A 19,000-nucleotide genomic window follows, 5' to 3' on the forward strand; every position below is an offset into this window, starting at 1 on the left:
ATGGTCATTGGGCAAAACTTTGACAATAACTCTGAAAGAAGGAAGAACAACACTCAAACAAGACTGAGAATATAATGGAGGTGTGATTGACAACTTGCTGACTACTATCTGGGAGCACAATTTTATATCTTTATTTTAAGAAAAACTGCTTTAATGTTGCCCTACTAGGAAGTAGGTGTATAAGTTGTAAAATTTAATTTTATCATCATATTTTGAGTCACAGTGGCTCCCAGCTCTACACTTAGGAGGCTCTATTCTGCAAAGAGGAGCAGGAAGTCTTTGCACTAACAATGTTACAAGGATGTTATTTAGGGGTGACTCAAACTACCTCCAGTCTTAAAGTCAACATAATGAAGGAATATTAAGATATAAAGCAAAAAGATCACGTATCTAGTACAGTTACTTGGTGGCCTGTTAACGTGCAAACTGTCTAAGCAATAGTTTCCCTTTGTGGGAGTTGTGAGCTATGAAATCATGCCAGAGAGGCAAAACAGTGAAGGGCTTCTGATTTGAAAATCACCTGCCCCTTCTCCCCTGACCTCAGTGCTACACTGAACAAAGAAAAGGAAAAGGGATATTAAACAGGCAAATAAGCCACACGCTGTTAAATTTAAGAGCTGGCTATATATCTCTACCTGAAATTTAATAAAATTCAAAATACATGGATAATACAGTGACTGATACAACAAACATTGTTCAAAAGTTCTTTGAAAGCATGAAGTCCTCGAACTCCTCTTCAGGAAAAAAAAAAACAAAAAACAAAAAACAAAACAAAAAAAAAAACATGATGTACAAAAAAACACGACTTAACCTAGGTTTCTAGACTTATATACTGTTGTGATCATGCACTCTGTTTATATCGGCCTACGTGCCACCTCTCAAACTTTCCCAACTGTTCTGGTCAATACATACCAATTGTTCAGGAATGCTCTCCATAGAATCTCATCTGTCAAAGCTCATCCCATTCTTTGGTGACCTAACTCAAATGCGCCTCTTCAGATGAATCCTCTACAATCTACCCACACTGAAGTGGGTAGATTCAGTCTTACAGAGCCCTATTATACAGTGCTTATCACATGTTATTTAATCCTACCATATTTGTGTTCGTCTTCTCTTCCTTCCTGTGGGCAATATGCATGGCCTTTTAATACATCTGATTCTAAATGTCATATTTTTAGTAAACATCTTTTTTATTTTGTTTTTGATACAGGGTCTTGCTTTGCCACCCTGGCTGGAGTGCAATGGTGCAACCATAGCTCACTGCAGCTTCAAACTCTCGGGCTCAAGTGCATACTCCTTGGCCTCAACTTCTCAGGTAGCTAGAACTACAGGCATGAGCCACCCTGCCCAGCTAACTAGTAAACATTTTAAATCTACATATACATTATCTAACGTATCTCACTCGTCCTGCACTTCTTACTATCTACGCAAGTTATTCATAATCTCTCTGAACTTCAGCTTTCTCATAAGATGAGAAAATTAATTGTACCTATTTCACAGAGTCAGAAGGACCTAATGAGATAATGCATGTAAAACACAGGGCCATAAATGTTAGATTTTTAACGACTGTTACTATTACTACCATATTACTATTTTATAGAGCTGTTTAAATATTTTATAAAATTGACATGAAATTATATTTAAAATAATGGGAAATGTACTGCTTCACTGATCATAAAGAGGAACACATTGCTTTTAGGTTTATTTTGCTTTATGTCATAAACTAAAAATAAATAGGCACCTCTAATTTCAGTTTGACATCTTCTTTTGTCTTAGAAATGTAGTCTAAACTAGAGATGGCTGACTCCACTCCACTGCAGTACTGCCCGTAAATAACCAATCTGAAAGGGAAAAAAGACAAGAAATCTCTAAGACAAAAACCAAGAATGAACTGGAGGGGGAAACAAGCAGAATCTTCATCTCTTTAAAACCATTGTTAGGGATAACCAAAATAGCAGTAGAAATTATTTTTAATACATACCACATACACAGTCATAGAATAAGGGTCACTCATTTTTATAGTAATGACTAATTTGTAGTTCCAACTTTGAATGAGATTAATTCTATGTAAATTTTTATAGCAGGCAGAATTTACAAACTGGCTTGATGACTGTTAATGTTATTTGAGTAGACATAAATGCATTCCAAAAACAAAATTAAAAATTTCTGTTAAAGCTCTTACAAGAGATAAACTTTGTCTCTAAACACTCAGAAAGTTTTCTCTATTACAATTTTATGCCAATCACTACATATAACTCCTTCATTATTAAACCTCTTACTCCTTGCTACTTTTTAATTAAGGAACATAAATCATCTGAAGAGAGGAAAACGAGAGACCTGAACTGTTCTGGACAGAAGATAACTCATATCACATGGAATCTGACCCACTTCAGGGAAGGTATCTCTGTAGCACAAATATTTTGCAAAGAGGTCAGTTGGTTTATTGCTTCTCTTAACTCTCCACTGGAAAAAAGACACTACTAATAAAATGTGAATATTTATCGAAGACTTGATGCAAAGTAATTCATTAGCCACTTCTTAGTACTAGGAAATACGTTGCTTGATTTGAAAAGAGAGATAATTATATTTTAAGCAAAATTTCTTGATACTCCAATTCCTATAGGTTGTCAGGAGATTTTTTTTTAACTTAGAAAGGGAAACTGACTCTGCGAATCTAATACTCCAAAATAGAGTGTCATAAAATACCAGAATTGGAAGAAAAGTGGAAGAAGCATTAAGTACCAGCTAATCTACCTCCGGTGTTTACAGATGGGGACACAGAGGCTCAGAGAGTTAAAATGACTTACTGAAGATTACATCGCTCAGTAATGATAAAGCCTGTAAAAGAAACTTAGCCTTTTGATTTGCGATGCAAAAAAATAAGCACCATACTGGGTCCTTCCCCCTCCTCCTTCTTCTTCTTCTTTTTTTCTTTTTTAATTACATATATAGAACTCAAACTACTACTCTGAAAGTAATTGTCCCACGTTCTAATTACTGCTCAGGTAGTAATGTAATAAACAGCAGTAATAGCTATTTGTTAGCTATTTTAATACTAATCCTCACTATAATTACAAGCTAAGACCCACAAAACTTAAACTTCAAAAGTTACCTTTCCTTGTAGTTAATAAAAACTTGGTACAAGTTCTGGTCATTTTTATTTACAATGGAATCATGAATCTCTTGCATTAGGTTCCGATGAAGTTTTACAAGTTCCTAAGAAAAGAAAACAATGTGAAAGGAAAGTAGGAATAACAACCAAAAAATACACCCCAAACCCAGAATCCTTTTAGTTGCTAGACTTGCCACTCAGGATATGCTGAATGCTCTCAATATATAAAACTGCTTCCACCAATAAAGAGAGAGGGAAAAGGAGAGTGGGGAGAGAAAGGGGGAGGAAGGGGAGGAAGCAGCGGGAGAGGACAGGGTAGAAGAGGAGGAGGGAGAGCAGGGGAAGGAAAGGAGAAAAAAGAAGGAAGATAAGGGGAAGGCAGAGGAGAGGGAGGAGAAGAGAAGGAGACAGGCCATGCAGATGGGAAACAGCAATTTCAGATCTCAGTTGAAATGTCAGCATCCTGTGAAAAAAGAAATTATCTCACTAGTTATTAAAGGATAATTTATTCCTTGTGTAAAAATATGTATAGCTTATTTTTGTTTTATAATCACTGTAAATTTTTTAAATAAAACTGTCCAAGTGCCTAATGTTTTATTGACAGGATAAAATAATGACTCATGTCCTTGTGACACAAACATGTAAATTTGTACTTTGGTCAATTAGTGGTGTCCTGGTGCTAAGCTAACAATAATCAGACTAAATTACTTGAAATCAGGCAACTAATGGCATAAATAAGGAGCAAATAAATTGTATTCGACAGTTTACCAGAGCAACTCAAAATGTCAGAATTTCACATTTTTCCCGATAAGCAACTAATTTTCAGTCAGGCAGTAAATACATGTCATAGCCAGGATATGAGGCAACTTGAACTAGGTGCCAATTCTCCCATTATCTCATCCTGTGTACCTTGGAGCACACATTGACTCCACAGCATGCTCTCTCCTTAGTGGTGTAGAAAGTAAACATGAAGATGTGGGCTCTAAGTTATAAAGACCATACTTAAGTGGTTCAAGATCCTTATCTTCCCCAAATGTGCAGTTTATTTAGTGCTAAACCTTCAGCTGATATTGTGCATGTTATAAATCAACAAGAATGTCCTCATTCGGCCAAAATCAGGGACAAGGATGACATGCCATTGCTTACCAACTGCTACTCAGCAACACAGAACACAATAGAATCAAAACACAAAGAACTGTTCAGGTAATACAAGCAGGTCTGTGAATAAAAGCTTATATACATTTATCAGTGTATGTGTACATGCGTGCATGGGGGTGGGGATGTATAAACCAAAGCAAGTCCTAGAGGTCTGAGAACTTGAATCTTGCCTAGCATTACCTCACTTGGCATGACATTTAGCTTGCTTCTAGATTTCTGGGCAAATATCCTTTTAAGATTGTAAGATTCTGGTAAGGTGCCCTGAAACTTGAAATGCTTACATAAATGTAAACGAAAAATATCTCCTCAAATTTTACAATTAAAATAGTCTGGTAAATCATAAGGAAGTAGGGTATTTCATAAATGGGAGTTACATATGATACAACTGGAAGTAGAAAGCACCAAATAGTAGAAGTCAAAGATGTGGAGGAATGGAGGAAAGTAGGGGAAACTGATATGGTGAGGACATCACCTACAAGACAAGGTCTGAGGGTCTGGAAGAGCAACAGAGCTCCGCAGGGAAGTGTGGGGATGGAAGTGGATCCCCAGATTATTTGAGACTACCTCTTCATGACAAAGAGTTAAGAATAACACATGAAAGTTATTTTTCCATTTGTGTTCTTCGTACATGTTGACTGACTTTTGGTTGAAGATATGATACATCAGTTATTTCAAGAAAATAAGGATATAAAAACTGGAAAAGCAAAAAATAAATAAATAAGGCCAATATTCTTAAATAATACAAAAGAGTATTAAAATAGGGATCTGGAACCCCCTAAGGAAATGAAGATTTTATTGAAGTACACCACAATTTTAGCTAGCATATTTTTACTCACAGGAATGTTGATGAATACTGAATCAAATTCTGCTGCTGTCAGAAATCTTTTTAGTGGTGCCATGAAATACTACCAGGAAAGAAGAAGAAAATAGTAATTAAGTATAACTTGTCCTAATCTATATAATAGTTTTTCATCAACAAACAACAAATACGTTTTGAAAGTCAATTGTTGATCAGCATTATAAACACCAAAATTGTAGAAACTATTTTCTCTAACTTAAAGACTTTACACTTGAATAGATATATAAAAACATAAATACGAGCTAATATTAATACATTTAAAGTATAAAATAAAATGGTTTAGACAATAAATGCTTCCAAAAGGAAGGAAGAAAAGAACATTATTGTCTGAGTTGCCAAAAAATGGCAACATTTTGGAGATGTATATGAAGACTTACACAGTAATATCTCCCAAATGTTTTGTGGAGATTCTAGATCCCTGAGATCAATAATCTATGTATGCAATTTATGAATTATTCCTTGAGAATTTTAGTTTCTGGCCTACCATATCTCTTTCATTCTCGGCATTCTCAGTATCTGTGCAGAGGATCCTTCTAGTACTGGTCTCTCAGTTCCTTGACCACAAATAATCTTGTGCTCCACTCTAGCTCAACTCCTAAATCTTATGGCCATACTCACAGACCTTGTCATTATCAACAACTTCATATGCTTCATAGCACTAATTTCAAGGAATTGGGTCAGCCAGTCCACTAACCATCCCACCTCCATCATATCCTCATTTCCCTCCTAACCGAGTTTATACTCCATGAATCACTTCCCTGTAAATCCCCTTACCTTCTCTTCTTCCATTGTGCTTTTCTAGAAAAACAAACACCCTGATCAAGTCTAACTTGCCACATATTTTGTGACTCTATCTAAGAAGTTAAGCATGGACATTACCGATCGTCTAATTTTCAATATGACCACAAAACTCAACTGGGCCTGTAACGCTACATAGTGCTACTACAGTTCCCTAGTCAATCTACTCTTCTACTCTTCTAAATAATGCTTGCATACTTTCACTTCTTTCCCTAACCTCTAAATGTGAGAGTCTGGAGAGCTGGCCTCAAACCTCTTCCCTAACATGCATTCACTAGGGTGATCTCACTTAGTCCCAGGGCCTTAATGCCATTGTGTGATGATAATGGCCCAATCTATTTGTCAATTCAGTCTTTCCCCTTAATGCCTGATTCATATACCTAACACCTTTCTCAACAAATCCCATTCAAAGTCTAATAGGTATCACAAATTTCACTTGTTCCAACAGACTCCTGATTCCCAAGCCTGTCCTTCCCCACCCCTGTAATCTTCACCATTCATGCAGTTTCTCATGCCAAAACCTACAGTCATCCTTGACTCCTCTCTTTTTTTCACATCCTTTACTTAATTCATCATCCAATCCGGTTGGTTCTATGTTTAAAATTTACTCAGAATCTGACCACCTATACCACCATTTTTGTCATCTCGATTAACACAATTTTCTTCTAATTCTTCTCTTAGTTACCACTCTTGCCTCAGAAGAGCCAGAATGAGAGGTTAAAGACTTAAATCACATCATGTCACTTCTGCTCACAACCCTTCCCAATGTCCTTGCATGGCCTAGAAGCCCACCAGCTCTCCCACCTCATGCTCAGTCCCCTTCCCTCATTCTGCTCCAGCCACACTGGACTGCTGCTGCCCTTGAAGCACATGCTGAACACTTTCCAATCAGAGGGGCTCTCTCGGGAATGATCTTCATTGGCATATGTACACGGCTTATACCCTCAGTTCACTTAGCTGCCCACTTAATCTTGTCACAGAGGGCTTCTGCTACCACTCTTTATAAAATGCCACCAGCCCTCCCCCCCCATCACTCTCTATCTTATGCCCCTGCCTTATTTTTCTTCAGAAAACTTATGACCATCTGGCATATTTATTTGCTTACATTCTAATCCTCCCATGGGAAAAAGTGTCATGAGAATCAGAATACTGTTGTATTTATTACTATATCCTTAGTCCCTGAAACAGTGCCACTCAGGTACTAAGACATCCATAAATAGTTGTAAAATGAATAAATCTGCTTTGAGATCTTTAAGTACAAAGTTCTCCTAAAAATTATAATACACATACACACCTTCAGAAGAAACAGTGAGTCTAATATATTAACTATATTAGGCAGTATTTGGGCATCAAAAATAATACCTGATGACTTACCTTTTCTATTGACTCCAAAGTTTCTGTATATTTTTCTTCTGTCTGCTTAATTTCTGCTAGACAACAACTTCGTATATCATTTTCTGGACATTTCTGCAGTTAGAATTATCAAAATAAAATGATTTAATAAAATCATATATTAACCTATCGGGAAGTAGAGATCAAAAGCATTGCTGACTTTCTTAAACTTTCCTTTCTAATACAACACATAATTGAAAGACATCTAACTGCATTTGTGAGGCATCTTTGCTGTTTTTATAAAAATCGTGAACAATGTAATGACAAAGATTTAGATGATTAAAAAATAAGCCTCTGAATGTAGACACTCTAAAATATCTCTTACTAAAATGTTCATAAAGTTGGAAACACCATAAATGGTGTATGATTATTTCCTTAATGTACAGCACACTTAACAAATACTATAGAAATAACTGCAAAAACAATAAAAAGGTATTTGGCAAAGTAAGTAAAGACCTTCAAATATTTTTTCCAACATTAACATCTTACTGCTTGACTTTTTAACTAAGTATTTAAGATTGGAAGTCATAGAGCACAACACTAAAATCAAAGATTCTGGAATCTGATGGAATTGGGTTCAACACCAGTTTTCTTGTCAGCTTTTTTTTTTTTTTTTTGAGTCAGAGTCTCGCTCTGTCGCCCAGGCTGGACAGCAGTGGCGCGATCTCGGCTCACTGCAACCTCTGCCTCCTGGGTTCACGCCATTCTCCTGCCTCAGCTTCCCAAGTAGCTGTGACTACAGGTGCCCGCCGCCACGCCCAGCTAATTTTTTGTGTTTTTTAGTAGAGACGAGGTTTCACCGTGTTAGCCAGGATGGTCTTGATCTCCTGACCTCATGATCTGCCTGCCTCGGCCTCTCAGAGTGCTGGGATTACAAGCGCGAGCTACCGCGCCCGGCCTGTTGTTAGCTTTTCTAACTGTGAATGAATCACTAAATTTCTCTGACTCAGTTTTCTTATCTGTCAAACAGAGAGAATTACAGTACCAACCCCAAGGAATGGTAAATAAGATAAACAGTATAAAGCACTTAGCACTTTTCCAAGTGCGCAAGAAGAGTCCTACCCATCTAAATTATTATCACTGTTCACCCCATCAGCTGAGTGAGGACTGCCCTTGCGGGAGACAGTGAAGAATGCACTAGCACTCAATGCAGTTAACAATTACAGGAGGCACAGATGATATTCGGTCACCTAAAAATGTTCTGAAAATGCTGCCACAGATGGGCTGTCAGCCTATGCAATGGTTAAACCACACTTGCGTTATATTCCTCAAACACAGGCAGGTAACTTGTTTCCATTCCACAGAAGCTACTGGACAGCCCATCAGCCTTTTATTAACAGTAGGAACATAGAGAGAGCTAAGCGCATTCATCAAAGCACTGTGGAAACAAAAATTACCAAGCAGCTGGTAAAGAAAAGTCTTTAATATACAAGAAAAAGTTATTAAGAACCTAAGCAACTGACTTTTTCTGTTGTTGTTTCAAATTGTAAATGAGAAAATAATCCAAAGTAATCCTTTCTGAATGTTCTGGATATATTAATAGCAGATAAGGTTTTGAGGGCTCATATTGGCTATGACAATATCTGAAACTAAATTTATAAATGAGTAGGAAAGCCAGGAGACTTACCATGAAACAAAAGAAAAATGGTACCTCATATTAACACTTAACAAATGTGAAGAAATACTCTTTAATATATATTTTATCTTATATCAAATTTAAAGGGAAAAATTTACCTGTGTTGTAAGAAATTTACTTTTATAAGAGTATAATTTCATGATTCCCTAAAATTCTATTCTACTACCACCCTGCCATTATTTAACTGGGTGGCACTTCATTTCTCTCTCAGACTTTGTTTCCTTACTAGCGAAATGAAAAGACTAGACAAAAGATTCCCTATGGTTGTTTTGAACTCTGAAAGGTCATGCATATGTCTCCAAATGCAGTAACAAGTCATAATTATATAGTTATAAGCAAGCAAAGGTTAAAAAAAATCCCAGCAGATGTTACATAAATTATTATGTTAATTAGCCTTTCCTAATAAAATATTCAGAGTAACTTTAAAAACAAGTAAAAGTCCTACGGGCTGATGTGCTTCCTCTGCCTTCATTAAGTCCTCATAGACTTCTCCACCTTCATCTTCCCCATAAACACAGTCATAGAGATCTTCTTCATCTTCCACAAGGGTTTCACTACAACAAAGGATATCATATAAGGTCATTTTCTATTATGCAGTAAATGCAATAGCTACAAATAGCCTACTGGATTTTAGTAAAAAATCCAGAAAGGAAATAAAATGGAATTAGTGGAAAGAGTTCAAAAGGTTTACATTACAACTTTGTCCCTCTTAATAGGTACAATGACAACTACAGAATCCAATAACGAGGGCAGTGGCAGCCATCATTTACTGGGTAGTTACTATGTATAAGCACAAAAATAATTATTCTACATATATTATCTTACATAATTCATCCAACATTAATGATCAGGTGTGCATTATTATTTAATCCATTAAAGAGATGAGGAAGTTGAAAGACCAAAAGGCTATTTGACTTTACAAATAACCCAGGTAGTCACTGGCAGATCCAATATTTAAAACCAAGTCTGTCTTAACGCTGAGTGTTTTACCCACTCTATCATACTGCCTCCCACTTTTCATATTTCAAGACCTCAGTTTCATCAACTGTATTAATGGGTATAATATGGAGAAGATAGGAGAGTTAAATTGTATCTAATATGTCATAAGTGGTCTTATAAAAGCATCAGTTACTGCAGTGTTATAATCAGCATCTAATCCAGTGGTTTTCAACCCATGCTCTTTCAAGCCCATTCAGAGGAAACCCACCAGTCCCCCATCAACCAGACCCTTCCTTTATCTGTTTTATATTCAGGGCCATAACTAACATAAAGACAGATGAGGAGAGGAACAGACAGAGATAGGAGACTGGGACAACCAGACTTGGTGAACACTGAGAATAAGGGAGGGAGGAGGAAGGAAGAGGAAGGAGCTTTCTACTTTGGGACACCAGGGAGATGGTGATCCATATTGGCAGTAACATAATTTCCATACTGAGGGGTTTAGGCGGCAATCTGGCCAGAGAACATTAGGGCAGGTAAATCGGTTTGCACATTCTCTGTACCACATCAAAGGATAGGAAGGTCTGGTGAGTTCATGAAGGAGCTGAGATATAAAATGATGAAAAAACAGGTTCTGCATTGGAGGGGATCCTGTTTGGAAGCAAAATGGACTGAAATTCATTTCCCTGGCACTCCTAATCCCAGAACTCCTGCTTGTCATCCCTAACATCACCACCCCTGCAAAAAAGTCAACCTTGCTGAAGTCCTACATTTCACTATTTCCCATGACAGTAAAGGAATGAATCATATAAATTAGCACAGACTTTTCTCTATTTTTGCTGTTGTTGTTGTTTGGGGGACAGAGTCTCACTCTGTTGCCCAGGCTGGAGTACGGTGGTGCAGTCTTGGCTCACTGCAGCCTCCACCTCCTGGGTTCCAGCGATTCTTCTGCCTCAGCCTCCTGGGTAGCTGGAATTACAGGCACGCACCACCATGCCCAGTTAATTTTTGTATTTTTAGTAGAGACAGGGTTTCACCATGTTGGCCAGGCTGGTCTCAAACTCCTGACCTCAGGTGATCTGCCCACCTCAGCCTCCCAAAATGTTAGGATTACAGGCATGAGCCACCGCGCCTGGCTGACTTTTCTCTATTTTAAGACCTGTAAGAATGACATGCATGTGTGAGTGCATGCGTGCATGCAAGTGCACAAACGCAAACACACACACAAGACTGGTCTAGAACTGTTTGGCTTTTGTTATTCAATCCTTTACTAAAGCTGCTTTTCTTGCTAACAGCTTAGTCAACAATTCCTGATTTCTGAGCCAGGAAAGAAAAAAGCTGTGATATTTTTCAAATGGTCAATAAATCAAAAACAATCGACATGTAAGGCCACCTACATACGGGCATGTCTGGCGCCCTGATACTAAAAGGACACTGTACAGTGTAGCCATTACCTGCCCTCTCCACTCCATCCTGTGGCTTTCTCCCCAACTTAGGAAACAATGATTGCCTCCACAGTGGGGACCAGGCCAGTATTTATTCCAAGGGCTTCCGTTTGGGTGAATGCAGCCCCAAAATTTAGAGTTAAGTATATTTACCCATAGAAATTGTAATAAAGCTGAGAATAAAAATCAAGCTGTCACAGCAAACTCAAAACCAAGCATGTCTAGGGATAATACATTTGCTTTTTTTTTTTTTTTAAGATAACCCTACTTCACCTTTTATCCCAGAACTTTGGGAGGCCAAGGTGGGTGGATTGCTTGAGCCCAGGAGTTGGAGACCAGCCTGGGCATATTAAATAAATAATTTCTTTAATCCTGCAAATACATTCGGACCTTCGGCCACCAGGTAGAAATTTAAAGCAGACTGCCTCTCACAGAGCAAGGGCTGGCATCTCAGAGCAGCCAATTCAGGAAACCAAGGTTTTCTCCAAATTTAGCTAGGAATGCATCCTCACTGGATTTATCCTGACATCATGTCTGCCTAAATAACAGTGAAAAGAACAAAATGGGGAAGCTATAAAAATTTATAGGTGTAAGTCACCACTGGTATGGGTTAAAAAAGAATATCGACTGGGCACAGTGGTTCACACCTGTAGTCCCAGCACGTTGGGACACCAAGGCAGGTGGATCATGAGGTCAGGAGTTCGAGACCATCCTGGCTACCACAGTGAAACCCTGTCTCTACTAAAAATAAAAAATTAACTGGGCGCAGTGGCAGGCACCTGTAATCCCAGCTACTTGGGAGGCTGAGGCAGGAGAATCACTTGAACCCAGGAGGTGGAGGTTGCAGTGAGCTGAGATCGTGCCATCGCACTCTAGCCTGGGTGCCAGAGCAAGACTCAGTCACAAAAAAAAAAAAAAAAAAAAAAAAAAAGAATAGCATCACGGCACTAGAAATTAAATATTCCCCTTAAACAATCTGAGTACATTACCAATAATCTTAGTCACTTTATGAAGATTACAACCAATTCAATAAAACAACTGGCACTATCTTGCTTACTGTTGGTGAGTTCTTAGAGATTTTAAGAGATAAGAAACTACTCTTAATAGATATTTAAAATATAAGACTGAAAGATCATTCTCAAGGCCACCTACCCTGGAAAGAGCTGCTGGCCATCCATCGTGTGACTGCAGTGGGTGTGCTCACCCCCTCTACTCTTCTACTAAAAGCTCTGAGAGGGATCTGGAAGTTGGGGCTGTGACTAACAACCTCTGCTCTAGAATAAGAGGTGTCTGAGTTCAAATCCAAAGACTACAATTTACTAGCAATATTACCCTCAGCAAGTAACTAGGCTTTTCAAAATTCAGTTTTCTCACTTTTAAACTGTGAAGATATAATAACAACCTAGTAATATTGTGGTATTACATAAGATAGTGCATATAACCTGGTTAGCACACAAATGGAAACTCAGTAAGCTCTTATTATTATTGCCAGGTGTAATACCTGGCAAACAGTAGATGCTAGATGCAGTTTTGACTTATTAATTTGGAAAACAAATACTTATTGAGTACCTACTATATGCCAGACACTGTGAAGTTCTAGGAATACAGCCATGAACAAGGCAAAGTCCCACACCTCACAAAAGTGTACCTTCTAATGAGGAGACAAACAATAAATGAAGCAAACCAAGACTGTCTCAGGCATTGGCAAATGCTGTAAAAACACAGCAATGTAAGGGGGTGGTGGCAATTTTAGACAGGATAGTCAGAGAAGGCCTCTCTGTAGGGAAATCTAAGCAAAAACTTGAACGCTGAGGGATCAGTCAAACAGGCAGAAAGAATAGCAGGTGTAAAGGTCACAAGGCTAAAACAAGCCCAGTGTGTTGGGTGTATGAGGAAGGATAGATGAATGAATGGATGAAGTTCCATAGCATTTGAATCTGTCTTGGGGCATAATCTATTTCTTATTATGATTCTTTGCAAACATGCCTGATCCATGTCATCAGTTCCTTGAGGAGTAACGATCACGCATATATTTATTTGTAATCTGTACAAGTCACTCAATCAGCAGAAGATAATCGGCTGCAAGGACCTTTTGCCTCTCTTGACTATTAAATAATAGAGCCCAAAAAGATTCTCTGTTCAGAACAAACACCGCCTACTAAAACATCCCGAATAGCTCCAACCCACACTTATCTCTCCCTTCCTTGAACTTATAAGGCATGCACTATGTGTCCCACAACTCCAGCAGCAGATTCTATTTCTTTTAAATTGTTCCCTAACTCCAGTTTTATCTACTACTTCTGTTATGCCTTTGAGAAACTTTGAAATTTTACTTCATTAGAGTAAGTTTCTTTATTCTTCATGGGGACACAAAACAGGAACTAAAAACCAGTTGAAGTACATTTTCTTGTAAAGCTTTCCATCGCCAGTTTAAGGTTAATCAGTAATTAAGCCACTTTTCCTCCTTCAGATAGCTTACTTTAACATCCACAGTTAAAACCCACAATGGACACATAAATTGGCAGTGGCTAAATTTTGCTTGAAATTTTCAACATACTCTATTAAATCAGGAAGGCCTTTGTAGATGTCTTCATCATTAATGCTTTCTTCTGTTGGGAAGGGCCTAGGAAGAGGAGAAAAAACAAAAACAAAAAAACAAACCCATGAGTGAACGAGCAACAATCAGGCTGCGCACTTAACCCTCACTAAATATGTAAGTTGTCTGCTGCCAAAATGGTCAGATCAGTCACCATGTCTAACAATATCTAGGGCTTTCCCTAAAGTGCCTGCTCAGTGGCTTTGTCTGGGGTTCCCCTAGGGAGGCTGTAACACCTGCCACCTGAAATCATCTGAAGCAATTACAGCTGGTCACCACAGTCACATGTGCAGGGGGTCATAATAACGTGCTTATCTGATCTCCCACCTGCCACATACCTGCAGGGTCACCTCACCCACTGCAGCACCCCAAGTCAGACAACAAACAGCTGTGCATGTACCCTTGCCTTCAGCACCCTCTCTTTTCAGCTGTGGGATCTGATAACAAATAATTTGGTAGCAATCATCCTTCCATGGCTCCGTTCACTAGTGTAGATGAAAACTAGTAGAAGACAAAAACATTGTGCCCTTTACATATACGGTCATTGACCCTGACATTTCTGCTCAGACTTTAGGGTATTTAAGCTGTATGTTTTATTTTCGTTTATTAGACAAATGAGTCAACCAGACCTTGGGGTGAATAGAGTGTTTTCTTTGTTCCCTATTCAAGAAAATCACCTTTAATGTATCTCCTATTCCCACTGTGTGGCTTCCTTGTTTGCATCATGGTACTATGTCCTTTTTTCATAACTGCCTTAAATTTATGTCTAACAAAATCACAGTAAGCATACTGTGCCAAAAATTCTACTCTTTTCAGGCAGCCAGCATATCACATGTTTCATAAAAACCAGAGGATCCATCAAAATAATAAATAAGCTTTAAATAATTACTAGTTATATTAAAAGCAGAGTTTCACATTGACTTATGGATTAATTTAATACTGAAGACATTTGAGGAGACTAGGTTTTTCAAATAAATCAGTGTGTGAGAAATGTAGTCTCATAATCATTTTTTATAAATTAAGGCACATTTTATTATGCAAGTTCATTGTAGAAAATATAGATGAGAAAAAAAGGAGAAAAATTTTGACTTACGTTTTTTCAGAATCAATACATAAAAATTTGATCATGCTTTAAAAAAATCTTTACATATAATAACATAAAATATATATTGACATGAAAGGTATGCATGTATTGAAGAGCAAATTAGGAGTTAAACATTTATCCAGCCGACAGACCATATACATAGAAAGCTGCCAAATTCATGGCCCATTTCTGAGAAAGGTCCTGTACCAGCAGGGCATTTTTCCTGAGCTCACTGTGCTTTGTAGCCAGTGCAGAGAACCCCACTAAGTCCTGCTTGGATCCTCTCTCCCTTAGAATGTGAATGTGAGCTGGACACAGAAAAATGGCTGTGATGGCCAGAGACAGAAATATGGAGCACTGAATAAAGAAGGTAAAAAACAAATTTGATCCATTTCCATGAAACCAGGCTGAGTAGAGACTGTTTTGCTTTATTTCCTAATGTTACTTATATAATACATCTTTGCTGACTGATCTAACTTAAGTATGTAGTATCTGAAACAGAAAAGGCTCAACACAACATACACATCTATATTTTTATGCTTATCAACTGCATAATACTCTATTGCAAGGAGATGACATACTATATTTAACCAATTTACTTCCAGGTTTTTAATTTACTACTGAACCTTCAATACACATTCTTGTACACATGTTTTATACTTGTTTGATTATTTCTTAAACTCCTAAAAGCTATGAGTTATTATGATCTACTCTATAGGAAATAAACATATTACAACATCTTATAAATATTTATTTACTTAAGCATTTGTGTTTACTTTAATGAATCATATGTACAGAAATGTTGGAGGAAAGTTAAAAAAAAAAAAAAAGAAGAACCACACCAGTGACAGTCACCTGTGAATTGAGAACAATGTTTAGCCAATGTGTTATTCAACTCTATCAATAAGTTCTACCTTGCTCAATTAATTTCAAACGTGTACGGGATACTTACATACCAGGCACTCTTCATGAATGAGACATAGTACCTGTGTGCAAGATGCTTCACAAATAGTAACCATTTAATAAAGAATCATTACACTGAACTCAATGGGACACATGAACAACGAAAACAGAGCTTACCTGATTCCTGTGGCCAATGCTATAGGTGTTCGAGAAAGTCGTGATAATGTTTCTATAACCTGAGAAAAGAGGAAAATACTAATTAGATATGTAGTTCAGAAAATATAAGATTTCTTTTTCCAAAATTTTTTCAATCTAATATTAACCATAGCAGCAGAAACATAAATTTGCAGGTGTCAAAGATGTGCAGAATGAGAAGGGCTGTGATTGGGAAGTATAAACACCTGGATTATAATTTTATAATTATTACTTAAAGTAATAAATTACTTTATTACTTTAAGTAGATTACTAACCCATTTGAGTTGCAGATTCTATATCAGTATAACACAAAGTTAGCCTGGGTGGCCCCAAGCAACTTGTATCTCTACTTTTACAGAATCTGAAAGATTCTGGAAAGCTGTATTCTCCAGTATAGTACCCACTAGCCACATGAGGCTATTTAAATTAATTTAAATTTTAAAAACAAAAATCCCAGTTCTGCAGTTGCACTAGCCACATTTTAAGTGTTCAGTAGCCACACACATGTGGCCACTGTAATGAACTACACAGTTATCAAAAAATTTCCATCATCACAGAAAGTTCTATTGGACAGTCCTGCTATATAGCAAAGCAGGTGAGACTGTGGGCGGGCTCTTGGGCCAGACCACCTGAGTCTAAATCCTCAGCTTACCATTTATTGGCCAAGTACTTTTGGGCAAAATACTTAACTTCTCTGAGCTTTTGTTTCATCTTCTAGATAATGCCTATAATAATAGTTAGATTATTAACAATCATTACATTATCGTGAGGATTAAATAAGCTAGCACGTAAACTATTTAAATAGTAGCTATTCTGTATAATCACCAACTTTAAGGAAATTGCCTTAATTTAATTCTGAGTGTTTTCAGAAAAAGTTTTCTAAATTAACCTTAATTATGTTTCAAAGATTCCTTATAAAGATCTTCAGTACTTAAATCTAAATGTTAAATATACTCTGCTAGCAACTTTACCCTTCCTTCAATCTTTTGTCCTAAGATTGTCTCTTTCGAAGACTTAGTGAGAAAGCCATTTATCTAAAATGTATTTTTCTCATAAAGTCTATTCTTGTTTGTTTCTTTTTTGAGACAGAGTCTCACTCTGTTGTGCAGGCTGGAGTACAGTGGTGCGATCTTGGCTCACTACAACCTCTGCCTCCCAGGTTCAAGTGATTGTCATGCCTCAGCCTCTCAAGTAGCTGGGATTACAGGCACACACCACCATGCCTGGCTAATGTTTGTATTTTTAGTAGAGATGCAGTTTCGCTATGTCGGCCAGGCTGGTCTCGGACTCCTGGCCTCAAGTGACCCACCTGCCTTGGCCTCCCAAAGTGCTGGGATTACAGGTGTGAACCACTGTGCCCGGCCATAAAGTTTATTTTTATGATAATAGATATAATGCATCCTAACTCTCAAAATTTTAACAAACACAACTTAAAGAGGTTCTACATGAGGCTTATTCAGAATGATAGTAAAAAGCGAGAAAAGGCAAAAATCTGTTTCTAAATTAAGGTAATCTAATTCCTTACTTCAGAGACAGGAACATAAAAATGAAGTCTCTCCAGTACTCTGTAGAAGGTTCATGAGAGTACCAGCCACACATACACTTATATCTCACCCACTTCAGGAACTGGTACCATATATATATATGGTTGTAGTTAGAAACTCCTGGCTTTGGAGTAAGAATACCTGGAGCCCTGACTCACAAGTTTTCAGCTATGCTCACCTTTACTAGCCTCTGTAAAATGCAGATAATAGCTAACTGCTTCATGGAGTTACTAAAAGAATTAAATGAGATCATGCCTATCATATGCTTAACTCAGTAAATGTGAATTTTTATTATCATGTAAAATAAAGTTATTATACAAAGATAACATTTAATTGAATTACATATAGATGACGACAATGTATTACATTCTTGAAAACTGCAAAAAGGTTACATTTTAAGCGTTCTCACCACAATAAAATAAAAAAGATGTGATGCAATACATATGTTAATTAGCTCCAGTTAACCATTCCACAATGTATACATATTTCAAACCAACATGTTGCACAGATCAATACATATAATTTTTATTTGTTAATTTTTAAAAAATTAAGAAAATTTGTTACATAAACAAAAGAGAAGGGAGCAAAACTCTTTAGGATAGTTCTAAAGGGTTAGAAAGAAGCAAAGGACATGGTGACTAGATGAGCTAATTTACTGACCCCAAAATTGTATATTCTAACCGTAGCCCCCTGCTGTGAGACTAGAAAAAGAAAAGAAAATACAATTGAAACCCTTCATGCAATTTCTTCCTGGTCAACTATGTCGAACATCTAATGTCAAAACATATACAACCAATCAGATAAAACTTGATATTGATTAATTCCCCATAATAAAGATAAAACATTGTCAGTGAGTTTGTAAACTCAGAAGATCAAGAATGAACAAATACTAATAAATTTATCAAAAATAACTAATTCAAAATAAAAATAGTCACTTGCTAAAATACCAAAATTATTCACTATTAAGCGAAAAGTCTAACTTTGGGGAGGTTCTGGAATAATCAGTACAGTATCCAGACCCTTGAATTAACTACATTGCTTTACTTTAGCATGCATCTTATCCTAATATATCACTGTTAGAAAGCTATGGGGTGAAATCTGCCTCTGATTCTACTTTACACTGTGGTCCCAGCATATATCACTACTTAATAACAAGAAAAATAGCAATAGCAGTACTACGGTTATGTCTTTTATTATTGCTATTCTATTATGTATTTTATATAGCAATGCATTTTACTCCTTGAGGATATTTTCTATAATAACTATGATGTATCTACAAAATCAGAATGCATTTTCTATTCCTTTTCCCCCACCAAAAACCAGAAAAATGACAACCCCT

General features: G+C 37.1%; 1 protein-coding gene across 12 annotated transcripts in view; it reads right to left on the reverse strand.

Annotated features, from left to right (window-relative positions):
• VAV3 (vav guanine nucleotide exchange factor 3) overlaps positions 1-19,000 on the reverse strand; it is a 394,020-nt gene that overhangs the window by 192,174 nt on the left and 182,846 nt on the right. For all 12 annotated transcript variants that reach the window (XR_007063680.1, XM_017000053.2, NM_006113.5 and 9 more), the window contains 7 exons: positions 16,100-16,158; positions 13,897-13,962; positions 9,401-9,509; positions 7,302-7,394; positions 5,107-5,175; positions 3,113-3,216; positions 1,742-1,841 (listed from right to left, as the gene is read on the reverse strand). Coding sequence is in view for 11 of the 12 variants with exons in the window: in XM_017000053.2 (XP_016855542.1) it covers positions 1,742-1,841; positions 3,113-3,216; positions 5,107-5,175; positions 7,302-7,394; positions 9,401-9,509; positions 13,897-13,962; positions 16,100-16,158 (600 nt within the window). In the remaining variant the exon portion in view is untranslated. The remainder of the gene's footprint in view (positions 1-1,741; positions 1,842-3,112; positions 3,217-5,106; positions 5,176-7,301; positions 7,395-9,400; positions 9,510-13,896; positions 13,963-16,099; positions 16,159-19,000) is intronic.

The sequence above is a fragment of the Homo sapiens genome, chromosome 1 (assembly GCF_000001405.40).
Source record: "Homo sapiens chromosome 1, GRCh38.p14 Primary Assembly".
Taxonomy (NCBI): domain Eukaryota; kingdom Metazoa; phylum Chordata; class Mammalia; order Primates; family Hominidae; genus Homo; species Homo sapiens.